The sequence below is a fragment of the Homo sapiens genome, chromosome 18 (assembly GCF_000001405.40).
Source record: "Homo sapiens chromosome 18, GRCh38.p14 Primary Assembly".
Lineage (NCBI taxonomy): Eukaryota > Metazoa > Chordata > Mammalia > Primates > Hominidae > Homo > Homo sapiens.
Genome location: NC_000018.10, coordinates 61,385,145 through 61,412,935, shown reverse-complemented (window position 1 = coordinate 61,412,935; position 27,791 = coordinate 61,385,145). Strand labels below are relative to the sequence as shown.

General features: G+C 38.1%; 1 protein-coding gene and 2 pseudogenes across 3 annotated transcripts in view; 1 reads left to right on the top strand and 2 right to left on the bottom strand.

Moving 5' to 3' along the window:
- The window catches only part of CDH20 (cadherin 20), a 222,350-nt gene that overhangs the window by 142,844 nt on the left and 51,715 nt on the right, over positions 1-27,791 (bottom strand). The gene's annotated exons all lie outside the window — the stretch shown is intronic.
- RPL30P14 (ribosomal protein L30 pseudogene 14) lies at positions 7,661-8,110 on the top strand (annotated as a pseudogene).
- RNU6-116P (RNA, U6 small nuclear 116, pseudogene) lies at positions 21,234-21,341 on the bottom strand (annotated as a pseudogene).

Here is a 27,791-nt window from a genome sequence, read left to right as displayed (position 1 = left end):
AAATTAAACTACCTTGTAACCTCTTTCCTACCCGACCCAGAGAGATCCATTGTTCACATACTTGTGTGTATCCTTCCTTGGAGTATGTATGTTGCAAATATGGGTCATACCTAACATATGCTATGATAGCCTCATTCTAATTGGTATACCATGAATCTTTTCCTATTTAAGTAAATATTCAAAAGCATCATTTTTAATGGCTGTATTTTATTATAGATGAACTATTTAAAGCAATAGCTTGATTATAACACTTGAGCTATTTTTATTTTTTAATTGCTATTTAAAATCTTTTTTGATTCCACATCCCCTTTCAGCTGAATCACTGTGTCTTTTGCTCCACCCATACTTCTCCAGCAGATGGGTTGTTGGACTATTCTTTTTTGTTTGTTTTTCTATTTATTATAAACAAACCTGTTATAATCTTTTTTGGACATGTATCTGTGTACATGTTGAGTATTTATATAATACAGCTTCCTAGAAGAGTAACAAGATATGTGGCCCTTTAATTTTGATGAATATTTCCAAATTGTTGTTAAAAGGTTGTACCAATTTACACCCTCAACAGCAGTGTGAATTTCCATTTTTCTGCACTTTCTGTAACATAACAAAATTTTGCCAACCTTATAAGCAGAATATGTTGCTTAATTTATATTGCCATAATACTTTTTAAAACTGGTAATCTTTTCAATGTTTATGTCCATTTGTATTTCCATTTCAGTGAATTTTCTCTTTGAATTATGTATATATTTTTCTATTAAATTATATCTTTTTAACTGATTTATGGAAACTTTTAACTCTTTGTTTTCTATGCCTGGCAAATGTGTTCTTTCAATCCATCATGTATCTTTTAATTTTACTTATAGTGCTTTTTTTTTGCCATAAATGTGTTTTCTTCATTTTTTCACTTTTTAAAATTATTTTTAAAATTTTTTATTTCCATAGGTTTTTGGGGGAACCAGTGGTATTTGGTTACATGAGTAAGTTCTTTAGTGGTGATTCGTGAGATTTTGGTGCACCCATCACCCGAGCAGTATACACTGACCCCAGTTTGTAGTCTTTTTTGCCTTACCCCTTCCCACAACTTCCCTCTCCACCCAAGTCCCAAAGTCCATTGTATCATTCTTATGCTTTTGCAGTGTCATAGCGTAGTTCCCACATATGATATTTGGTTTTCCATTCCTGAATTACTTCCCTTAGAATAATAGTCTCCAATCCCATCCAGGTTGCTGCAGATGCCATTAACTCATTCCTTTTTAATGGCTGAGTTGTGTTCCATAGCGTGTGTGTGTGTGTGTGTGTGTGGATACATATCTCACATATATATATATATATATATATATATATATATATATATACACACACACACACACATATATACACATACATATCACATCGCAGTTTCTTTATCCACTCATTGATTGATGGGCATTTGGGTTGGTTCCACGTTTTTGCAATTGCGAATTGTGCTGTTATAAATATGCATGCGCAAGTATCTTTTTCATATAACCACTTCATTTCTTCTGGGTAGATACCCAGTAGTGGGATTGCTGGATCAAATGGTAGTTCTGCTTTTAGTTCTTTAAGAAATCTCCACACTGTTTTCCATAGTGGCTGTACTAGTTTACATTCCCACCAGCATTGTAGAAGTGTTCCCTTTTCACCACATCCATGCCAACATCTATTATTTTTTCATTTTTTTATTATGGCCATTCTTGCCATATACATTTTTTTTTTTTTTCAGACAGAGTCTTGCTCTGTCACCCAGGCGGGAGTGCAGTGGCGTATCTCGGCTCACTGCAAGCTCTGCCTTCCGGTTCACGCCATTCTCCTGCCTCAGCCCCCCGAGTAGCTGGGACTACAGGCTCCCGCCACCACGCCCTGCTAATTTTTTGTATTTTTAGTAGAGATGGGGTTTCACCGTGTTAACCAGGATGGTCTTGATCTCCTGACCTTGTGATCCGCCCGCCTCAGCCTCCCAAAGTGCTGGGATTACAGGCGTGAGCCACCGCGCTCAGCCCCGCCTTATACATATTTTTAATTGCAGTACAAATTCAGTCATTTTCTTCATGAGTTCTAGGTCTTATGCCTATGCTGAGAAAGGCCATCTCCTTTCAAAGATTATAAAAATACTTACATATGTTTCCTTCTAGGGCTATTATGTTATGATATTTAATCTATTTGAAATTTGTTTTTGCTTGATGGTAAAAGGAGGGGATCCAGCTTCATGCTTTTTCCAAATAATATTTAGTTGTTTTTAAACCATTTATTTTCCATTCCATCATTTGTCACTGATTTTAAATATCAACTTAATATATCAAAAGGTCATATCTCTGTTCTGTGTTTAAATCATATACTCTTTTAATTATTATAGCCTTATAACGTGTTCTGCTATCTGGAAGGAAGAAAATGGCGTTACTTCCTCAAGCAAAATTGTTGGGTCAAATTGATTTGGGGTTCTGGGAAGGCTGCCCTAATTTACAGTTTCACTAGAAGCATATGCAAATACTTATTTCGCTTCACCTTACTAATACTTGTACATATGTATTTAATATGTTTTTCATGTATTTTTTAAAATTTCAAATTTCATAGATAAAAATGGTATGTCATAAGCTTTATTGTACGTTGATTACTAGGATAGATGAGCTCTTCTTGATACTGTCATTAAGTTTTGCTGTTATTTTTTAATATTTTCTATTCAGTTTAATGTGCTCATGTTAGGAGACCTGTGTGTTTTAGAAATGGCTCATGCTTGAACTAAGGAGAACACAGTGGTTGACCCAGGACAGGACAATTCTGAAACCAAAAACTAAGGAGCTCCCTGCCTCTAGGAAACATAGTAGGACAATAGTAGTGTCAAAAGGCAAAATTACAACACATTTACTTTCATTATCTGAATTGGCTTTTATTTACAATTTAAAAATCATAAAGAAGATTCTAGCACCTGGTTCTCAGAACCAGAAAAGGTTCAAAGAATTCCCTGGCTGCAATGTGGTCAGACATCTATGGTCAGAAAACGGAAGTCACAGGGACAGTGACTTCCCTGTCACTGTCATAGGCAACAGGTTGGTGTTTTGCCTAATTCAAATCAACTGGCTGACTGTGATTGGCTGGAGCTCAGCTACTGTGATCTGTGATTGACTGAGACCAGCTATTAATATTCGTTACTTCAACTCCTAAGTTAGGGTTTAGTTAATGTACTACGTTATGTTGCAGTTCATTACTTAAGGACTCAGGACAGGGGCATCCTCACGCGCAATTTTAATTTAGTTTAACAGTTGCCAACCTTTATTAAGCTTTGTATTAAAAGCTTTATATTCTCTGGCTTATGAGATCCTCTCACTACTGTGTGGAGGCATTATGTCCATCCTCACTTTCTAATGAAAAACTGGGGCTCAAGGACATACACAACTTGCCTAAGGTCACAGAGCTGGCAAGTGGCTGGGCCACTTTGTGAATCCAAGTGGTGTGACTTCTGAGTCCAAATGTCCCCATCGAAGGGTCTGCTGAGATGTGCCATCCCTTCCCCAGGACTGCCACAGGACCGTGTTGAAGGAGCCTGTCCCAGGCTCAGGCTAGCAAAGACAGAAACAGGTGCCTGTCCCCTTAAAAGTCAGGGTCTTAAAATCTCTGGAAAACTGGAGATGAGGATGCGGGGTGGGGGCACAGAAGCACTGTGGGGACCTCCCTTCTCCACAGTGAGAACCGTCTGGAAGACTTACGTGGTTTATGGTGGCAAAATCATGTATTAATGAAAACATTTCTAAGCAACCAGTTCAAAAATGCTCAGAATGGGTTGGAGGCATAGCATAGACTTCTTTTCAAAAGTAAAGACATTTTCAGTTTCTGTAAAAAGTCATCCTTCCCTGGAAGGGGTAAGTTGTAATTATTTATTCTTTTAAAAATACAGAGTCAGATGCTACTGCTTTTTCTGATTAAATTTGTGCTTACTTTTAAGTTGTAGTGTGGCAGATGAGGAGCTGATGCTAGAATTAAAAAGGTCTGGTCTGTCATTTTTTTTTGTATTAGTATTATCTTTTATCCATACTTGTGAAGTTTAGTTTAGTTAAAATTAGACAATCTGTAAGTCCACATAGTGCAATTTGACTTTTTGAGTAAAAAGGTGGTGGGTTTTTTTGTTTGTTTGTTTTGTTTTTTGGCTTCCACAGTTGGCTAAATTAAGAGGACCAAATGGTTTAGCCAGGGTTCTGATTAACAACTTGTTGCTGACTAGTTTGCTGTCTAAAGTAATGGGGTGAGAGGAGGAAAAGAAAAATCAATCTAAAAACTAAATGCTGGTAAGAAACAAGTCTTAGACTAGTTTACTTGATGGTTGTACCTTGTACATAGGTCTAAACTGGGATTTGAAGTGTCTGTGGCCACCTCTATGAAGAATAATGTCAAAATCATATATCGTTCATTATAACATTGATCAACGCTCACTGCTTTCTCAGAGGGAGCTGGATTTGTGATATAACATTGTAGAGGAGAGGTTGAAACCAGAGATCATCCAGCCTAAAACCTTATGTCTTTCTTAGTGCCTTCTCTTTGAAAAAATGGCACATCCCAACAGTTACTTATGCAAAGTTCTAGAAACTACCTTTGTCCTTCAATTCTCACACTCAGTAGATACACCAGTACTGTCAGTTCTGAACCCAAAATGAATCTTGATTCTTAATTTTCTCTATAATTGCTGCCACCATCTTCAAACTCTTATTTCCTGCATTTTTTTTCATTAGCCTCCTATCTTCCCTCCCCACTTCTATTTTCCCCCTTAATAATTTATTAACTCAGTATCATAAATGATATTTTAAAATGCTTTTAAAGCTCTTTCGCTTTTAAATTTTTTATTTTGAAATGATTTTGATTTTATAAAAAAGTTACAAAAATAGTGCAGAGAGTTCTCATATATTCTTCATCCAGCTTCTCCTAATTTTAACATCTTACATATATAACCAATTTTGGAAAGCAGGAAATTAACATTGATGTAATACTATTAACTAAGCTACAGGCCTTATTCAATTTTCACCAGTTTTTCCACTAAAGTTTCTGGTCCAGGATACAATCCAATGACCCACATTACATTTGCTTGTCATGTCTCTTTAGTGTCCTTCAATTTGTGACAGATCTTTAGCCTTCCTTTTATAACATTGACATTTGTTAAAAGTACTGGTCAGTTCATTGATAGAATGTTCCCCAATTTAGGTTCATCTGCTGTTTTCTATGACTGCATTGGGTTATGCATTTTTAACAAGAATTATCACAAAAGTGACGTTGTGTCCTTCTCAGTACATTCTATCGGGGGCTAAATGCCTTGTAAAGATATAAATTTGATCATGTTACAAACCTTCAGCGGGTTTCCATTTCTCTGAGGGTAAATGGCAAACTCTTCTAAGATCCTGCGTAATTTGGTCCCTGTTACTTTAATTCATGCCTTTTGTAAGGGCCAATACAATTTAAAATTAAGAGGCTTAATTCTTGTTGTTGAAAATAGAAGGAAGGACTTCCCCCACCCCAACCTCTTATTCTTAGAGCATTTACTTGGAAAACTTGTAATTGTTAACTTCTTTCTCTGTCTCTGGGAAATATATGTAAATCTTTTTGAAAGCTAAATAAGCTTCTGGCCAGTTTTAGACCCAGGAATGTCTTTCTCAAGGCCCTGGGAGCCATCTTTTTCAAATGGAATCAAGGAAGATAGTGCCCCTATTTCCCCATTTCTGTGGGAGGGCAGGTGCCTCGCTCCAAGTTGCAAAACTGTCTCTTATCATAAAGAGAACTTTATTTTTCTGTTGAATAAAGCCAATAGTTAACACAGATGGTCACCTCAACTACCAAGGAAATTTAGGAAGAGCTGTGTGTGACAAATGGTGTTGCCAAGTCCTCTTACTTGAGGAGCAGTTATTCTTTATCTTGATGGCAAGTATGTACCACATGGTAAAAGGATGAGATGTCTTTTGAATTTTGGAATCTCTTAATGGATTACCTGTGATAGTTATCATATTCTTATTCAATGCTTTTTCAATAATAAGATTACTTTCTTTCTCTTCTAGTCTGTAGAGAGGTTTTCTGTGTTGGGAGGAGATTTTGTTTTTAATGATGTTTCCCCAACACTCTTTCCCGCTGACTTACTATGGCTTTATTTCATGTTTCATAAAGTGCAAAACTGTTGCTTGCTGTATAATCCTCTGCCTGAATTCCTCCGCTTTCCTCCACCTCTTCGTTTAAGTAGCTCCTTTCAATCTCCAGGACTAAGTTCAGATATAATCTCCCTAAAGACACCTTTCTCAACCACCCTGTCTAAGGAAGCCACCCCTTCCAGGGATTCTATCACATTATCCTGTTTCTATCTTGCAGAGTGTTTCATACAACCTGTAATTATTGTACTTATTAATTTGTTGATTTATTTATAGTGTTCTGTCCTCCACTACAATGCAAGCTGTAGCAGGAAGAGACTCCCCTCCAATCTGTCCAGTCTCACCCCATCTGTCTTGTTTATGGCTGAAGCCTTCATACCTAGAACAGTGCCTGGCACATAATAGGTGCTTGATGCATATTTGTAGAATGAACAAATGAGTGAGATGAGACTGATAAGCAGGTTAGGGTAGTTAAATAATGGAGATGCACATTTTATCCTATTACTTATCAACTTGTGGAAGTCTCAACAAACAAGTTTTTAGCAGTCTCTGTATTTAACGAACACATAAAATAATTATATTGAGGAAATAATACATGAAAAATTCACCTTCATACTTGAACAAAAATGGGCCCAAATGCTTGTTTTGAAAAGGAAAATCTGTGATTTTTTTTTTAAACCCACTCAAATATTTTAGGAAAGCTTTCATGTTAATTCTGGATACAGCTGGGGCCATTTGAATTGTAGCATTGACTAATTGGCCAGTGTGAACATCAATTAGTCCTGAATAAAGAGCAGGAGATGAATGCCAAGAAGGAGGAAGTGGAGACTCAGATTGTTCAGCAAATCTACTAGGAATCTGCACATCCTAACAGACAAAGAAGGGACCTTCTGCAAGACCGTTGAGACAGTGGAAGCCTTGAAGTTATGCTGATATTTGAAGGAAGGCTTAACGCAGTGTTTCTCAACCTTAAGCATGTGGCACAGTCCTCTGGAAGGCTTGTTAACACAGGCTGCTGGGCCTCATCCTAGAAGTTTCAGATTCTGTAGGCCTTGGGACCCAAGAATTTGCATTTTAACAAGTTCCCAAATGATACTGCTGACATCGATCCAGGCTCCACACTTTGAGAACCACTGCTTTAAAGCACTGATTGACTAGAAGAACCTGATGGAATTTGTTTATAATAGTTTTTTAAAATTTATTTTATTTAATTATTTAGAGATGGGGTCTTGCTCTGTCACCCAGCCTGGAGTGCAGTGGTGTGATCATAACTCACTGCAGTCTCGAACTCCTGGGCTGAAGCAATCCTCCTGCCTCAGCCCCCTGGAGTAGCTTGGCCTACCCCAGCTAATTTTTAGGGTTTTATTTTTATTTTTATTTTTTAAAGATGGGGGTCTTGGTATATTGCCCAGGCTGGTCTCAGACTCCTGGCCTCAAGCCATCTTTCACTTGGCTTTGCAAAGTGCTGGGATCAAAGGCATGAGCCACCAAACCCAACCCTATATCAGTCTTTTAAGAGTTGACAATGGCCTTTCTCGCTCCCGGGCCATCTTAGCAGCAGCTCCTGGTTGGGGGCCATCCCACACCTAAGGCAGAAAGATGGTGGCTGCAAAGAAGACAAAAAAGTCGCTGGAGTTGATCAATTCTAGGCTCTAACTTGTTATAAAAAGTGAGAAGCATGTGCTGGGGTACAAGCAGACTCTGAAGATGATCAGACAAGGCAAAGCAAAATTGGTCATTCTCTGTAACAACTGTCCAACTTTGAAGAAATCAGAAATGGAGTACTATGCAATGTTGGTCAAAACTGGTGTCCATCACTACAGTGGCAATAATATTGAACTGGGCGCAGCATGAGGAAAATACTACAGAGTATGCACACTGGCTATCATTGATCCAGGTGATTCTGACACCATTAGAAGCATGCCAGAACAGACTGGTGAAAAATAAACCATGCAAAATTTCCCTTTAATAAAATTTGCCAGTGCTTGTTAAAAAAAAAAAAAAAAAGTTGACAATTTTTTTTTAATTAAACAAATGTTCCATTTTTTTAACTGCCAAGGAAAAGGGTCTCTTTTTTCATGCTCCATTTTTAAAGGTCCCATCTCTGTATCTCAGCTCTCATTTATTGAGCATGTACTAGTTATACATATGATTTTATTAATCTTTAAAATTGCTGGGTAAATCCTTATTTTACCCGTGGATTATTATTGTATCTTGGGCGACAGAACCAAGATTTCATGCAGCATTTTCAATATCGTGCCTCATATCACGATGTAGAATTTCATTGCTCCCTACAGATCTACTCTGGATTTCTATATGTGGGAGTCTTTAATATGATATTGAAGAAATCGGCTGAAAACTTTCCCTAGGGGTTTTCCTCCTTAACCAGACCTTGTTATATTTTGGTGGGTTAGTGGCCTTTATTCTCAAAACAAATATTTAAAATTCAAGATTCAAAGACAAAATACGCCTATCTGTTTTTAAGTAATAAACCATGTTTTTCTCTGATTACATGCATTACTCCTCACTCTGGAATCATAGAATTTTCTGTTAGTAGTTTCTTTATTTTTTCAATTGAATTTTATTTTAAGTTCTAGGATACATGTGCAGGACGTGCAGGTTTGTTACATAGGTAAAGGTGTGCCATGGTGGTTTGCTATCAATCCATCATAGGTATTAAGCCTCACATACATTGGCTATTTATCCTGATGCTCTCCTTGCCCCCTACCACTCTGACAGTGTGTTCTTCCCCTCCCTGTGTCCATGTGTTCTCATTCTTCAGCTTCTACTTATAAGTGAGAACATGTGTTGTTTGGTTTTCTGTTCCCACGTTAGTCTGCAGAGGATAATGACTTCCACCTCCATCCATGTCCCTGCAAAGGACATGATCTCATCCCTTTTTATGGCTGCATAGTATTCCATGGTGTATATGTACATTTTCTTTATCCAGTCTGTCATTAATGTGCTATGGTGAATAGTGCTGCGGTGAATATACGTGCGCTTGTATCTTTGTAATAGAATGATTTATATTCCTTTGGATATATGCCCAGTAATGGGATTGTTGGTTCAAATGGTATTTCTTTACCCATGAGTTATCTAATTTTCCAGGTAGTGTGATTATTGCCCAGTGGTTCACTTCTAACCAGTGATATAGCTGGTGCTTCCACAGGGCTCTCTGACTCCAGGATTAGGCCTCTTTTTGCTACAGTGCTTCTCAGCCTGAGATAAAACTAATTTTAAGACTACTTGGTAACACCTTGAGGTATTATATGACTGAAGTAGAAATTACTTATCAGCCTGATCTAACATAGAAGGCTGGTTAAGACAAAAGTCCTAATATGAAGTGCTACATCTAGGTGTTTTGTTACCAAAGAAACATGGTAGTCTTGTTTCCCAAGAAGTATTTTAAAGATAACTCTAGCAAAACACTCATTTTCTACATGAGTTTGAGTAATTTGTCTAAGTGGTAAAACCAAACTGACCTTTTTAGCTTAATTGCCTACATGATTCAATGAATTCTCTATCGAGAGACAGTTAAGACCAAACACGTTCTCCTCAACATCCCAGAAATGCATGGATCACCTTGAAAATCTCTGAAAAACTAATACAAAGAAGCAAGTGACTGAGTTCATAATTGTTTCCCTTTCTCTAAGCCAAAATTGATGGCCAGGAGGAAGGCATTGAAAGCCAGTACATACTGACACTATTTATAAGATCTTGATATTTTAGACTTGTATTGCACCATTCATCCTGGGATCATAAAAATGGTTGTTAAAATTTATACCATATTAGTCTGATTAACCCTGAGAAGGGTAAAAATAAAGGATTGAGGAGAAATATTTATTTCACAAGGGTTAGGACTTTAATATACAGAAAGCTGCATAAATCTGCAGATGTTCTAATTAGATTCAGCTGAACTGCTTCAGAATGCACGATAACATGGATTTACTCTGCCAACTACTAAGAATAACTTTTCTGGTGTAAAAAAATGTTCAAGTTTCAATATTGAAACATAAAATACCCCAGCCCAGGGGATAGATTCATTTCACATCAATTTTTTCATTGGCTCAAATTTCTCTAGCTGTTAAGTTGCTCCTTTATTATAAGACTTAAACAGAATTTTCTAAATGGTACCCTAATGGTACTCTTCTCAGGTTATAGTACCTGGAATCCTATTTTCAGTTAATAGTTAAACATTAACCTTAGATCACTGTAATACCATCAGGCAGGTTATTCATATGGTGCTTAATTTACAATCAGGGAGTAGTTTAGGCCATGAGAAAATCTGGTTCATAAAGAGGATGACATTAGGGAATCAAGGGATGTATTTCATGAAGTAGTTTTGCTAGTCAATTTCCTTTTTTTTTCCCCTTGAATATATGATGGTTTTTAAATCTCAGGAAAGTTATTCCTTTGTGCTGGCAGGGGAAATCTATGTTGTCCTATATTTGGAAGTTTTTCAGTAAATCTTATCAGAGAATTTGCTGAGGCCCAAGTTACAGCAGGGTGAAGAATGAGCCTTCCTCTGGCATGAGAATCCTACTGGATCCCCAAAGGCATGGGGATACCTTTAGTGTCTAACTTTCAAAAGTTCCATCAGCACCAGAATGCTTTCCAGTTCCACAGAACCTGGGGGTCAGATCCAGCTGCGCCTTCTGATTTATCTGTTTCTAGGTCTGAGAAGTCAAGGTGAGGGAAAATGTCTCTTTGCAAAGGGAGTCAAGGGGAAATGTGAGAGAGGCTGTGACTAGAACCTCATGTTCCCTTGCCTGCCCCTTAGACAAACCAACCTTTGGTCAATATTCCCTCAATTATATTTGATAAACCAACCTATTATCCTTAATTAAAATGTTGGCAGGAAGTATTCATGTGAATTTTTGCCAAGGATTTATTATAATCTCCTTGTTTTATGGTTTCCTATTTTGAATAGTGAAAGAATAATTTCTTTCACTCTTCTGAAGGAGAGTCTCTTGTAAATGCAAATTTTATCTCCTTCATAATCTTTTTGGATCTCTGTGAATTTGCACGGAACAAAAATACATTGCTCAAGTATGCTGTGTTTTAATTTATTAATAAAAACAAAATAGTTGTGAAAGGCATTTGTAGGAAATTGATTTGAAATAGATGTTACCATGGCATATGCATTAGTCTGCAACATTAGGAACAATGAACATGGAAAATCAACATTACTTATAGACTTACCAGCTACCTGTTACTGTAGAATCTGAAGTCAGGGATATTATAAATATGTAGAGTCATGTCCTAGAATTTACATTTAACCCTTGGTTGTCTAGTATCTAAGTCACTTTATCTTGTTTCCCTGTTATCCTATACATAAATATATGTGTGTAAACACACACACACACACACCTGATCATTGATATAAAAACAACAGCAACAACAACAAAAACGGGTCACTAATGTATAGAACCCAATAGTGCCTGTAACATAACGCAATAAATATGAGTTCCCTCTTCCCATCCTAAATCCCTTTTCTTATTTCTTGGGCATTTTCCTTTCTCTCCTCACTTTTTTCAAAGGATAGGTTGGGAATTTAAAAAAGATGGAACTGGAATAAGCTTATTAGAATGCTTTGCAGCACATTGCACAAGGAAATATTGGCAGATGAGTTTGAACATGGGTAAAATAAGTACGAGAATGATTAGTGCCTCTTCTCATTCCAAGATAGTGTCCTCTATTAGCATGGATGCTGGAGATGCAGCTGCACGGAGAGCATAGTTTGATATGCCAGAGGTAGGAGATATTCCAGGGAGGGCCAGCCCTTCAACGCATTAGATCAAATGTTCTCAGCCCGAGGAGGACAATCCCTCAACTCTAAGGTTAAGTCTAAATAGCAGCCACTTCCTCTTTCCCACTAAATACTTATTATGAGTCAGGCCCTTGTCATTTGGGGTTTCAAGCCAATGATAATAATCTTTCAGTTTATATCGAATACTATTGGGACACCAAAGACTGACCAGAGCTCATTCTTTGGTTCTGAATTCCAAGATAGCCTTTATTATATGGTCCAAGATGAATAACTTCCTAACACTATCACTTGATATCTTTACACAAGAACATTTGCCTCCTGTGAATTGAATCCTAGAAATAAAATTGTGCAGGTATTAGGGTGATGCATTTACCTGAATCTGGCAGAAGCACTTTCGACACAGCTAACACAATTATGGAACGAGAGGAGGGTAGAGGTTGTGTTCCCTTTGTCTCTTTTTCAACTACAGAAATTACACTGTGGTAGCAGGATTTCCTTTAAATCTAGGTTTGATAGACATTCCATCTCCCTTTGCTCATTTTCACTTGCACATAATCTCAGTTATGTGACATATTACCAGAGAAGAGAGTCCTGCTTTTGCCTTTAGGTCTTTCGCAAGTTAACTGAAGAAAAGAATGAATTTTCAGATTGACTGTTATCTCACTAATCACATCTGCCCCCAAGTTAAGCAGTATCTACTTTGCCTTGCTCTGTCTAGACCTGACAGTCTAGACAAGAGTTAATGCTCATTAGCAGGCTGGAGAGGCCCCATGGACCTCCTTTGCCAGATAGTGTGATGTTTTCTTCTTCTGATAGAATTTGGAAAGAGGCTGCGACTACAGGTCAGGGAGGTGGACATGCAACAGGAAGCAGCCCTATTGTCCCCTCACTTGGTAACAGTCTCACAGTACAGCAACACATTCAGCTCCTAGGATAAAAGTAGGTGTTTTGCTTTAATTAAGACCAACAAAGACTTTTCTGTTCTCAATAGGCTTATATTTTTAGACACTAAGGTAAGGAGGAAAAGAACATTATCCTATTCTGTGCATAAAAATAAAGATTCAGCATGAACTGCATAATTAAGAACTGAAAGGGGGAAATACAATTCAATTAAAACTGACAGAATAATACACGGAATCAATGGCTTTATTTGGTGCTTAATGATGATACTGTTTTCATTTCATTATACATGAGTCATAACCAGCTTTGCCTTAGTGTAATTGTATTTTTTACAGAGTAAACCAAAGTATGCAATTTGTTATAGACTCATCAATTAAAAAGAGGCTGATTTAAGATGATCATAAGTTGATCCCTGAGACTGAAAGCAAATTTTTTCCATTCCAATATATTAACTTATTAGAATGATGAGTAATTTTAGGCAGGGGTGGAGAGAGGCATTGGTGGGGGAGGTGAAGATCAGTGAACAAATATTAAAGACTGATTTCCATGAAAAAAATGGCAGTAGTATGTTTTCCAGTGGGGAAATGATAGGGTGATGTATTTTTGATCCAGTGAGCTGAACAAAACATGATGGGATTTCGGGCTGGAGAAGAAATGTATAAAATGAATCATAATATTGACACAAAGCCAAGTGTAACAGGGAGATATCATTTCCATATGTGGCCTTCTAGCTATGTGGATTTTAAAATTGGAAAATGAGACCCAAGGAAAGCAGAAAGAAGAGGTTAAATTAGAAGTTAGGCTACTCGAGTACTTTCTGGAATTAATAGTGGAATATAGAACATGTTGCTGTGAGGAACATTCACTAAACTTCTCAGACGTCCTGCTCTGTGAGGTACAGACAACTGCTGGTGTTCTATGAACCCCACTGAAAACCCAATGTGAATTAGCAATGAATGACTATGCAGTCAGGATCGGAGAGGTTGGTCACTGCAAAATGTGTCTGACTTATGTCTTCATTCCATTAGTCATGTTGATAAAAGTTTCATATTTTCCATGCCTTGACTAAACTTCAAATGTACTGTATGAACAGGTAAATGAAGGGACTCTCATTTACCCATGACAACCCTGTGCTCCTCAAAAGCTGATAAGTTTGGGCCAGGGAAATAGTAATTTTCCCTTCATCGTGGGATCAAAGGGCCTACCCTGTCCTCCCTGGCAGACTTGTGCTGGCCACTCAGAACATACTGATATAGGCCAGATCTTCCCACAGTAAATATATCCTTCTAACTCATTTCTATTTGTTAATATTAGCGTAATCTTCTTTCTTACTGGGCCATGCTTCTTTGTGACTGGGCCATGCTGACAATGCCATTGATTCCTGTAGAGTGACCTGGAGTGGACAGAGGAAAAGCAAACCTAACAGAAAAGTATATACTCAGGAGTCTCAATGCCCACAAATGATAACACAAGAAGGCCTGTGCTCTGTAGATAGGGGAGACCATCTTAAATTCATAATAACTCATCTGTAAGAACCATTTTTATATCTTCTTAAATATCTTACATTTTCCTTTTTTGTTGTTGTTTTTACACATTGAAAATAAGATGTCAATATGCTGATCAGCAGAAAGGTTTTTCAGACACTTCCATAGATTATCCCTTAAATACTTGGCTTATCATTTAATCTTCTAATTATGATCTCCTAATCATAACCAGCTACTTGAGTAAATATGTACATATAGATATATGTATATAAATTAAGAAGACCATAATTAAATTGATACTACTCTTTTCAGGTTCTGGAATTGTTGGCAAATTACATAGTTTTTATAGGATGATTAGAAACAAGAACTATCAATTACAAAGCAGATAAAACTATAAAATTAGAGTAAATAAGACATGTACTATGTATGATTCGTATACTAGTTGTGACAGACAAATAGTGACCCGTTCAGACTCTCATTCATTGCAACCTGTAAACAGCACAATGCAATTGCTAGATGGCTACACAGGCTAGGGATGTAGTTAGTTGGTACAAAGCCATAAGTTATGCTGCCCTTGTTAGGATTCAAGCAAATAGCCTTGATCTTGTTGCACTCTGACTTAGCTAGCAGAGCAAGTGAATCACAGTTGGGAGACTACATTTGTTTGGAGTTGTAGCGTTCATTCATTCTTTTATGAATTCCTACATTCAACAAAAACGTTTTCTGCATCTCTTACGATTAAGGCATCATACTAAGTGCTAAATACTTCTTTTAATAAACACTTTATAGTACTTACTATGTGCCAGGCATTGACTCATTTAATTCTCATAATTACTCTATGAGGTGTGTTTCCCTCATTTTACAGATGAGGAAACTAAGTCACAGAGGTTGAGTAACTTGCCTAAGGTTACACGGCTAGTAAGTGGCAGAGCTGAGATTAGAACCCAGGCAGGCTGGCTTCAAAGTTAGTGTTCTTAACCACAAGACAGAGGTAGTCTCTGTTCTCCTGGAATTTACAGTCCAGAGGGAATACAGACAATAAACAGGTGAGCAAGAAAGAAACAAAAAATGATGAGCTGTAACAAGCAGGGTAGTGGAGGGTGATGGGTGGCTGCATAGGGTGGTCAGGGAAGTGACATTTACATGGAGGCAGGGTTGGTTAAAAGGAGCCAGCCCGGGAGCCCTGAGAGTATCCAGACCCTGGGAAGGCCTTGGATGCTCAAGAAACTCCACAGGGCTGCGGGGCTGCAGCAGGCAGTCATGTGCTTTGTTGCTTCAGGAGTGGGTAGGCCAGGCCAGGAGGACTCCAGGAAAAATGCCTGGAAGAAATTTTATGAGGCAGAGAAAATTATTCTCCTGGATGAGATAAAATATTCCTTCAGTATGGGGAGGTTGGGTGACGATGGGAAATAGATGGAAGGGGAGTAAGGAGGGCAGAGATGTGGGTGGGTTCCAGAGAAAGTCTTAGGGAAGGAGTCAACCCCCAAGAATCCAGAAGATACTGAGGTTGGGCAATCTGTTTCTTATATCCTAGGTTAGATGCCCATGGAAGCAACACCTACCTCTCCCACTAGAGTAACTGGCAGCACGTTATATTTGGGTCTTGGATAGTTTCACAGAGACTCTGGTGCCCCAGTACAGCATAGAAACCAAATAGTTCATGGTCCCCGGGAACATACGTAGTAGCAAGAACAGCCAGGCTTGAAGGGATAAACAGACAGCAATGAGAGATGTCTCAGAGGAGACTGTGTGTGGACAAATTGCAAATGCCCTCAGCAATGTCTTACTACTATGAAGGCTTCCCCTGGCCCCAGGATGTTAGGTCAACCCCAGGAAAAGCAGAGTTGCTGTTTGCTGGGGATTAACTGCCTGCTACCTCTGCAGGATAGAGGCTCAGAATGGAAAGGGAATAATGAAAAACTAAAGTTGGTCTCTTGCACATGTGCATTTATGGACTGAAGTTCCTACCTGCTTCATGTGGAGATATCTTCCAGGTTTGCTAAAAATTCACCTGCAGCGTGTATCCACATCCTGGGTTGATTACAAACTCTAAGATGAAAGCCAAGTCATCTGGAGGCAACATGTGTAACCCTGTGGGAGAGCTGTCTAACAGAAAGGAGCTCCATTCCTAGAAGTCACTGTTGATTCTGGAAATATCAGTGGGCTGTGATGAGGTTGAGTTTGAAAAAGTATAAGAGAATGTTTTAAGCCCTCTGAGCAGATAAAAACTGGTCTTAAAAAAAAAGGATGAACAGGTGAAGGTACCCACAGAGGTTTTAAAAAATTGTTAATTTTTAGTAAATTAAATTATTGATTTCCAAAAGAATACCTAGAAAGGAAGAGTTTGGAAAATGATTTTTATGGCTTCTAACTTGGATGGTGATTTTTCTGAATGAACTAATACTCTTTCAGGAGAGGAAAGGGCAATACTATTAATAGCAGCAGCTGCTAGAGAGAGAGCACTCTTCTGTAGTCTCTCTAAGAAATAGCTATTAAGGTTAAAGTGAATTGAATCCCCTCAATGGTGCTTGTTCCTAATTTACCAAGATGTACCTCTCCACATGGTGTGCGTGCATGAACACACACACACACACACAAACACACACACACTCTGTGAGTGCACAGGAGAGATACTATGCCTGGAGAGAGATTGGGGAACAATCTTCACTTCACTGCAAGGCTGGTGCACAGTCTCAGAGGGAGATGGTTTCTAACACTATCGAAAAAGTAGCTGGGATTACAGGCATGTGCCACCACGCCCAACTAATTTTTGTATTTTCAGTAGAGACAGGGTTTCACCATGTTGGCCAGGATGGTCGCGATCTCCTGACCTCATGATCTGCCCGCCTTGGCCTCCGAAAGTGCTGGGATTATAGGCATAAGCCACCGCGCCTGGCCAAGGTCATATAATTTTTATATTGAGAGTATTTGAAAATATATATGTTTTTACTAGTAGAAAAATTTATTTCAAAAAAATACAAAGCACATATGACAAAACATTAACATCTGTGATTGGAGTATGGGATCTTTTTAATTTCAGAAGTTGGAGGTAATACAGATTTTGGAGTTGATAAGGCTGGAATGTGACCAGGGGCATCAGTGGTTCAGATGATGTGAGGGAGAAGGTCTTTGGAGGTAAGGAGATCAAAGAACCAGTAATCCAGGTTTGGGATGGGTCATCCACACATGTATGGAAGGCATCGACCAAGAAGACGGTCATTAAGGTGCAGATGAAGATGACTCAGTCCTAAAAACTCACATAATAATAGCTAATATTTATTCAGTGCTTATCAAGTACCAGGCACTGCACTATGAATTTTATATATTATTGTTACATTCATTTTATAGATGAGAACAGTGAGGGTTACAAAGGCTTGTAAACTTTGCCAAGCACCACTGCTAGTGAGTGTCAAGTCTGTTAGTTCTCAGACCCAGACAGCCTGGCTCCAGAGCCTGCATTCTTTACCACTTTTCTCTCAGTATCTGTGAATGATGTAACTATGGCCAGGGGACAGAGAGCAGAGGGTACAGTGTGAAACTTAAAGAAGTGGGAGGTTTTGCAAGGGGAAGAGGAAGAAGTAGTCTTGAACAACTCAAAGTCTTGGCCTTGAGGCATGAGGAGTGTGAATGACCAACAGTCTCCACTGAAGGTAGCTGCAGATTCTAGACAGTGGTTTCTTCTAGGGGAACACAGGTTCCTCTTCGGGCAAGGAGGAGGAAGAACCATTCTAAGAAAAGGTGGAGAATATTGAAATACCCCAAGGCCAAGCAGGAGGGTGGATGGAGAGAGACAGGGTGAGGGAGGTAGCCAGATGCAGAGATTACATGAGGATGAAGATACTGGTGACAACTGCCAGGTGGGCTCGGCCCTCTGGCAGCGACATTGGTAAACACCATGGAGGCCATGAGGAGTTCGTTGCTGTACCTCTATTGAGGCAGCAAGTGGTAAAGCAGTGAGCATATTCCTTCCTAGAGCTGCAGTAACAAAGTACCACAGATGGAGTGGCTTAAACAACAGTAATCTATTGTCTCACAGTTCTGGAGGTTGGAATTCCAAGATCAAGGTGTTTGCAGGGTTGGTTCCTTCTGAGGGATGTTCCAGGCCTCTCCTTTGGCTTCTGGACATTTGCTGGTGATCACTGGCATGCCTTGGGGTGTAGAAGCCTCACCCCAATCATTGCCTTCATCCTCGCATGACATTCTTCCTGTGTGTGTGTCTGTGCACAAGTTTCCCATTTTTATATGGACCCCAGTCATACTGGATTAGGGCCCACCCTAATGACCTCATCTTAACAACTAATTACATCTGTAAGAACCCTATTTCCAAATAAAGTTGTGTTCTGAGGTCTTGCGGGGTAGAACCTCAACAATGGAATTTTGGGGAGACATTCCAGACTATATAACCGTGGTGTTAGGGGCTCTGCTCACTCCTGGCCACTCGCATTTGATTGGGAATCTGTTCTGAGCACCTGAGCATTCAAGGCACTTTCTGGGTATAGCAGGGAACATACAAATGAATGAAACAAAATCCCTGGCTTCCAGGGCCTGAACTTGGGGGAGGTAGAGAGAGTGGGTAAAGTATGACAAACTCAGATGCCTAAAACACAAGTCAGATCTGATTAATGCTGTAAGTGAGACGCCATCAGATTATTACATAAATTAAAAAATTAATGAGAAGGAGAGTGGGGCTTTGGACCTAATTTGGTTTATTTTTAAATTTTGCAGGTAAGGAATCTTAGTTCTAGAAATGTTAAGTGGCCTGCTGCAGGTCTGCCAACTGGAAATAAGCTCTTTCAGTTACACTATGTATATAAACACACATCCAGCCCCATTTTCTATTATGTCAAACATCTTTGAGATGTATTATTTTAAAAATTATTTTTATATAACTGGTCAGGAAAATGATTACCTAAACTTATGAACGTGAAGTAGCAAATAATGTTTAAAAGAAGTCAGAGACATTTCTATGACAGTGACTGAGCTGTTGACTAAATATTGAGTATAAATCTTCAACCACCCACTATCCACAGGTGCCAATCTGCCTACAGCTATACACAATTTATATAATTTGTATTTGATGCCAAAATACACTGTAAGTTTCTTGCATCCTTAAAAAATAAAACCATTAGCCACCTTGAACCACTGCAGTCTTCTTTTTCAAATATCCTTCACCTTCTTAAGTGAGGTAAGAGTAGCCTACCTGGGAGAAACGGCTGGGCTCTATGCAAAGGCCTGGATTCTTCACTGCATTGACAGATAAACATTGACAATTCCAAATTTTAAAAATACAGTGTTGAGTTAGGAGCCACTTGATAACTGTGGGAAGCAAAATGTCTGTTCTGAGTTTCCTAGGTGGGTATGGCTGGATTTGGCAGGCACTGTGAAGTGTGGTGTGGAAAGCCTAGGAAAAGAGAAAGAAGATGAAGGGGTAGTTGATCTTCCCCTTTTCTGGTTTCTAGTGAAATTTTTCAGGAAAGTGAGACTATCTTAGGAACATGGCAACAGAGAGTAAGAAGAAGAAATCTGGAATCAATTCAACATTGAATTTCTGATTTACAGTTTACAAATGGAAAATAAAACTGGCTTTATTATGGGCAACATTTAGGAAATAAGGCCACTAGGTTCAAGAGGGTCTGGTTCTCAGCATCAGAATTCCAGAGTTTGCTGTAAATTTGACTTGGGCAGTGATCCTGCCACTGGGGATGAGACTGCCCTCTTGTTTCTGGAAGTGAGGTGCAACAGCCAGACAGTGCACCACTGAGTCTCTGATTTGGGAAGGACAAATATACTAGGAAAAAAATACCTTGCTGCTTTCATGGTTCAAAATTTGTGATGAATTATCCACCTTTTTTTTTTTTTTTTTACCATAGTAATTAAAAAGTTCTTATAGCTCTTCATCTATTTCTTACCAACTGTCAAGTAATAGAGCAGCAAATCCTTATTCTAGCCTTTCCTTCGTTCACTCAAGATGCTTCAGTGTCTGATCACGTCAGTCTCTAAAATGTGTTTAATATGTAGCAGAGATATAATGATGGGGAAAAGAGACATGGTCCTTGTGCTCAGCATGGAGAGGGAGATGGATAGTCATGATATAATCTAGAAATACATAATTCCAAGCTGTAACAAGGTGACTGAGGAAGAAGGAAGAGAGCTGTGAGACTACAGCCTGTCCTCTGTATCCATGGGGATTGGTTCCAGGACTCCCTGTGGATACTTCAACCCCTCAAGTCCTTTACAGCCAGCCTGTATCCACAGCTTCTGCATCTGCAGATACTGATTGTATATAAAAGGGAGCTGATTTAGAGTGGGTAAACAGGGAAGACTTCCCTGAGGACATGACATCTGTGCTGAGTGCATAAAGGTCTAGAGGCATTAATGGGCACAATGTGGAGATGGGAGGTAGAGTGTGAGCAAGAAGGTTCCACACAGAGAACAAGTGCAAAGGAGCAAGGCTGGAGTAGGGGGTGGGGTGGGGTGGGAGCAGAACTGAAAAGGTCACTAGAGCAAGTGGGAGAGAGAGGCAAGAGAGGGGGCTGGAGGTGTGAGCAGATCAGGCAAGGGCAGTAATCTTTCTGAGCAATGGTAAGCTATTACAATTTTTAAGTGAGGGGCAAAAGATTCGGCTAGCATTGTAGGACTTTCCCCACAGCTGCAGTGTGGAAGATCAACAGGAGGAAGGCATGAGAGGAGGCTGGAGGACCAGGAGAGAGAGGATGTTGCAGAGTAATGAAGGAGATGGAGGAAGGGGATTGGGTCAAGAAATATTGAGGTAGAATAGTTTTAGAATCTGCTTTTTCCACTTGACATATTGTGAATCTCTGTCTTTTTATTTTTTTTAAAATTTTTGCCTGATTTCATTTTTTATTGGATTATTATGTTTTCTTTTTCATTTGTATTTTTTTTTCATTTTAAGTTCCAGGATACATGTACAGGATGTGCAGGTTTGTAAAAATATGGAATGCTTCACGAATTTGCGTGTCATCTTTGCGCAGGGGCCATGCTAATCTTCTCTGTATCATTCCAATTTTAGTATATATGTGCTGCTGAAGCGAGCACTGTGGTCTGTCTCTACATTTCAAAAATGTTGATCTCCATAATCAGGTCTCTATGATAGTTCCTTGTATGGATCAATTATTACATATTCAATAATCTCCTACCGATGGACTTTTTTTCAATTACAAATGACTCTGCAAATTGTATTATGTATTAATTGTCTGATTGTTCTCTTAATGGATATTTTATATTAGTTGCCAAACCAACTCTCGGAAACATACTAGTTTATTCTCTCACTAATAGTGCATAAGACTTCCATTGTCTATCCCCTTTCAAACCCTAGTGTATTGTCAATCTTTTTAATTTTAGCTGGCTAATAGGTAAACAAAATTCAGTATTTTAACTTGCATTCTTCTGATTACTCATGAGACTGGCCATCTTTTCATGTGTTTACTGACCATTTATATTTATTATTTTGTAGATTATCTATTTCTTTTGCCTATTTATATCTCAGGATATTCTTTTCCCTGTTGATGAAACATAACTTTTTTGTAACCCTTTGTCATATGTACATAGCAAAAGTGTTTGCTAGATTTTTGTTCGCCTTTTAATCTTGTTGACAGGGTTTCCTATTCTACTTTGTTCTGCTTTTACCATATGTATATTTTTTTCACTTCTAAGTAGAGTCTGTCATCTGTCAGTGGTTTTCTTTATGGTTGTAGTTTTGTTGATATATTCAAAAGGCCTTCCTCACTCCAAGCCTAGAAAAAGGTTTTCCAATGCTATATTTTCTATTATGAATGTATTTGGAATTCAGTGTGAGGAGTAAGGGAGGGATACTTATTTATTTAGCAAGCACCTAGGCAATTGTCTTGAATAACCACTATTTCCTTCCCTAACCTAGGCAACTGTCTTGAACAACCACTATTTCCTTCCCTGATTAGAAATGCTATCTTTTTTATTTACCAAATCCCCAAATACATTTGAGCTCAATTCTGAACTCTGTATTCTGTTTTTGATCTCTCATCCCCTGTGCCAGATTCACGCTGTTTTAATTACTGTTATTTTGTAACACAGTTTTTATATCTGGCAGTGCAGTTTTATCCACATTATTCTTCTTTGTCAAGTCTTCCTGGTTATTTTTAAATATTTATTCTTCAAAATGGATTTTAGAATTATTTTCCCAACTTATACAAAAATATCCTGTCGCAAGTTTGGTAGGACTTAAATTACATTTTTACGTTTGCTTTACTCTAGCATTCTGGGCCATTACAAATTTTTTCAAATAGTGGCTGAAGTAATTTAATTTGCAATCAAGTAAAATTTGGCATATATTGTGACCTATCTTTCTGAAATATATGAGAAACAGGCAAGCTGTATATTATGTATTTCACTAAATCACTATATGGTTCTAGATGATTTATTCATTCCACACATATTTACTGAGCTAAGCATATGCTGGGTGCTGTTTCGAGTACTGGGATACATGGTGAATGGGCAGGATCCCTGTTCTCATATTCCAGAGGGCAGAAGCAGTGGAGCTTGCCTTTGACAATAGATGGGGTGGGGGTAAGGGTGGGAAGGCCTCAGTGACTGCAGACGAGTCTTTCCAAAAATACTTGCTTGGAAAGGAAGAAAGGAAATTGAGTGGCAGTTGGTCATGGGGGCAAGGAAGGTTTTTGTTTTATTTTTAAGATGACTGTTACTGGAGCATATTTATGTGCTGCAAAATGATCACCAGAAAGAGAGAAAATAAATATACAGAAGAGAAAGGAGATGCTTGCAGGATCCAGCTCCTTCAAGGTGAAAGTAGGTGGACTGTACTCCACAAGTGGCATGTTAGCTTTTGATAGAAGGAGCAAATTAATAATAGAAATTTTAGAAAGAGTGGGCCCAGGTACAAGCAGATTAGTGTTTATTTCACTGTGGAAACTAAAGAGGTGTTTTTGCATGGGCAATAACCACATTTATACTACTATACTAATTATTCATCCATTTCAGCAAGAATGGGGATGTTTTATTCCAGTGTTAAGCTTAGATGTCATAACTTCTTTGTTGGAAACTGAATTTTATGGGGCTGAAAGCAGTGCTTAGAACAATGTCTGGGACATATATGACACTTAATATTTATTGAATAAGTATACAAATTCATTTTATATTGCTGAATGGAATTTTCATACTGTCTAGGTGATGTCATATCTCCTATACAAAACTGTCCTGATTCTTAGTACTTCCATGTCAGTATGTAATATTTGTAACTTCACCATATGGTGTAGTAGAAAAGGCATTGAACTTGGAAACAGAAGGCTTGGATTCAATCATCTGCCTTGCCAGTTTGTAGTTACTTAAAGCTGGGGAAGTTATTTAGCTTCTCTGGGTTTTACTTTTCTCGTTGTAAAATGAGCCAATTGGGATAAATCAGTGGTTTTCAATCCTTTTAAACCATTGGATATTTTCTTCGTATGAAAGGTTTTCTGGAGCCTACTATGTAAAGCAGGTAATCGAGGACTCCTCAGACGAAAGTAGAGATGTGAGAGGGGGAGCCCCACCCATCCTGCAGCAGTGTCCTTGAGCCTGTCTCAACCCTGCCTTCATTTTGCTGTGAGGGGACCCTGAATGGAACTTCTCGGAGCAAAATTTACAGACCTCATAAGATGATCTCTAAGGTCTTTAAGAATTGCATAAACGATGGCATGTGCTACCTGATGTGATTTTAATCGTCCTGTGAAGTAAAGAGTGCATGGTACTATTATGTCTGTTTCACGGATGGGAAAACAAGGTTCAGAGTTTATCATTTTCTGTAATTTCTTGCCTAGTAGATGGAGGAGCAGAGATGAAAGCCCCAGTCCTTTTGTTGCCGTCAAATGATTTCCCTCACTGGCTTTCTGTTGGTTCAGGGAAGACTCTGACTAAAATACCTGAAAGAATTTCTAACTTGTATTACTGTTCGCATCCACACGCATGTCATAAAACCACTTAAAAGTGTTTGCCTAAATGTTTTTCCACACCTGAGTTAGCTAAGTTACAGAACCTTTAATCAAATTGTGAAAAATAATGAGCTGTGAGGAATCATTATAATTTCTCAACAGAAATCTCCAAAATGCAAATCAAATGAATTGGCTGAGCACTTAAATCCGTTTAATTTTGAAATTAGTTCAATTTTTGAAATAATCTTCAGATTGAGACAGATGAGGCATGCAGTCCTACTTATTGTCAACCATAGTAAAATAAGAAATCAGTTTTAACCCAAATGCATACTGAGAAATTAAAAGTTAATCAAGACTAAACATTGAGTTGGAAGGGGTTGACAATTGGGGTTGCCACATCAGATAAGGGCTGTCACTCCAGATTAACTGTCCTTCCCCTAGTATGTTCTGTACTCTCATCTTTGAGTTTCTACATGCTGATCTTTCTCTTGGAACACTCTTCTTGGCCAGATAAAAATATTACTCATCCATCAAGGCTCATTTCATAAACTGCTTCCTCTGTTTAGCTCACTCATCCTCATGGCGCCTCCTCCTTCCTGGACAGAATTAATCTTCTCCTTCCCCTGTGAACTCCCCTGGAACTTTGCACTGTAGGTATAGCACTCTTTACACTACCGTATAGCTAGCTATAAAATCTGTCTTCCTTGCCAGGTTTTAATTTCTGCAAGGGCAGAGAACATTAAATATTGTAAGGGTTTTTTTTTTTCCCCACTATAAAAGTAACATTCACTCAATGAGACAAAATTTGGGAAAATGCAACAGAATTTAAAATGAAAAAGAATCATTTCACTTATCCATTGCCCCTATACAATCAGGGCTTAGAATTTGAAATAATTCATCTAATGTTTCCTCCACCGTGGACAAGCATTGAGTTTAATTGGGTAGACATTGTTGATTTCAAAGCACTAGAAGACTGTAAATCTCTCTGTCTCTGTATAACTCTTGATGTACAGTGCAGTTGGCTGGCAGACATATAATGATGTCTATGTATACACACACAATTCTGTAGATATTTAGAATAAAGAAGGGGTTTGCTCAAAGTATGGACAAGCCTGTTTGGAAAGTATTTCATGAAGGCACTTGACTCTGTAAATCACATGCGTCCTTATCACAAAATTTAGCCGACTTTAATGAATTCCAACTGTTTTGTCAAGTGAGAACAGGTTATTTATTGAATTGAGCAAACTGACACATATCCCAAATGGTGAATACATGCTCCTGTAGGTTCTCACAGTTCCTGAGGGTAATCAGGAACGAGTACCATGTTGCCTTGACAGATTCATCATTGCACTGAAGAACATGTTGCTGCAACTTTGAGTTCAGACCCTGGTAATTGTCTACCTCTGGCTTCCCACTCTTCCATTCTCCACTTCTTTTGGTAGGACTGACAGTCTTTGCTGTGGTAAGAAAGCTGGGCTCCAGAGCTGCAGTCTGAGAGGCGTGCTTGCCATCAGGACCACATTGTTGGTCATTGGCATTAGTTCACTCTAATAAACATCAACAATGACATGGAAGCTGTTTTATTTGTGAAGGTTGAATAGATGTATGGATGAAAATAGATCAATGATACCAGAGTTCCTGGCTGACAAAAATTGAGATAGTACCAAATTATTCACCCACAGGATACTATTAATTTAGGCACTTTCATATTTATAACTTTTTTTAAGTATAAGAGTTATAACAGTTCCTTGTAGAAAACTTTGTAAAATGTAGAAATGGATAAAAACATAAATCAAAATCAACTATATACCTGCCACACAGAAATATTGACTCACAACATTTCATATATTTTACTTTCAATCTTTTTCTCTTAATATACAGATACATGAGATCATATTGTATATAAATATTCTATCCTTTTTTAATTTAGCTTTTTTGATATTTACGTTTTGAGATAGATCACTTTTAAGTAAGTAAATATTCAAACATTTTAAAAGCTTAACATTCTGTCAAAAGGATGAAATAAAATTAATTGAACCATTCTTCTATTGTTCAATAGCTAGGCTGGTTTCACTGTTTTCAATGCTAGATATAAAATTTCAAAGAACATATTTCTATGTAAATTATCATCCAAATTTTAATTATTTCCTTAGGGGAATTATGTATTACAGGAATTATTACACCAAAGGGTGTCTTAATTCGTTTGGGCTTCTACAACAAAGTATCACAAATGGGTGGCTTATCAACAACAGAAATTTATTTCTCATAGTTCTGGAGGCTGGGAAGTCCAAAATCACATCATAGGCAGATTCAGTTCATTGTTCATAGATAGTGCCTTCTCCATGAGACCTCAAAAGAAAGGAAGGGTGAGAGTGTCTCTCTCAGGCCTTTTTTAAAAAGGGCACTAATCCCTGTGAGACCTTATAAAAGGGCCTAATCAATGGCTAAGTCAACTGCCAAAGGCCACACCTCCAAATATCCTTACCTTGGTGATTAGGTTTTCACATATGAATTTTGAGGAAACACAAACATTCAGACCATAGCAAAGGATAGGAAGTGTCTAAGAGTCTGTATTTATTGATAAATTTCTGACCAGAGAAGTTAGAAACATTTACCCTTTTACAAGTAATTGTTGCAGTATATCCTCAAAAAATATTTGAAATGTTTGCTATTTTGGTAGGTATAAAGCATACCTTATTTTTTAAGATTACACTCAATTACTAGTGAAGTTAATTTTTTTTTACATGTTAATCCACTTGCATTTTCTATGTAAACTGTTAATATCTTTTTTTTTTTTTTTTGAGACAAAGTCTCACTTTGTTGCCCAGGCTGGAGTGCAGTGGTGCAATCTTGGCTTACTGCAAACTCCACCTCCCAGGTTCAAGTGATTCTCCTGCCTCAGCCTCCTGAGTAGCTGGGACTACAAGCACGTGCCACCACACCTGGCTAATTTTTGTATTTTTAGTAGAGATGGGGTTTCACCATGTTGGCCAGCTGGTCTCAAACTCCTGACCTTGTGATCTGCCCACCTTGACCTCCCAAAGTGCTAGGATTACAGGCATGAGCCACTGCGCCCAGCTGTAAACTGTTAATATCTTTTATACAGGGTCTTTGTGTTCTTCATAACTATGGTAAGGTTTTTTTTCCCCAAATTTTTTTTTGCCTTTTCATTTCATTTTTTTTCCTTGAGGTATGGTCCATTATGTTCGTTGATATTACATATTTTTACTGTCCATTTTTGCCTTTTGATTTTGATGTTTTGAGTGTAGTGAAATATATCACTGGTATATATTTCCTTTCATATATTTATGCTTATAAAATGTATCTCCTTCAATTAAAGAATCTTCCTAACCTAAGTATGGATATTTATTTGTATTTTAATCTATATTCTTGTTTCTTTTCTATGTTTAAATCTGTTTTATTTTTTGTTCTGTCTTATTGCGTTAACAAGAGCTTACTGACAGTCTCACATAATCATGGTGATAGTAAGCATAGATTTATTTTGTTTGCCATTAGTAGATATTGGCTGTCAGCTTAAGGTAAATATAGTTTATTATGTTAAAGTTGTTGACTTATATTCCTTTTT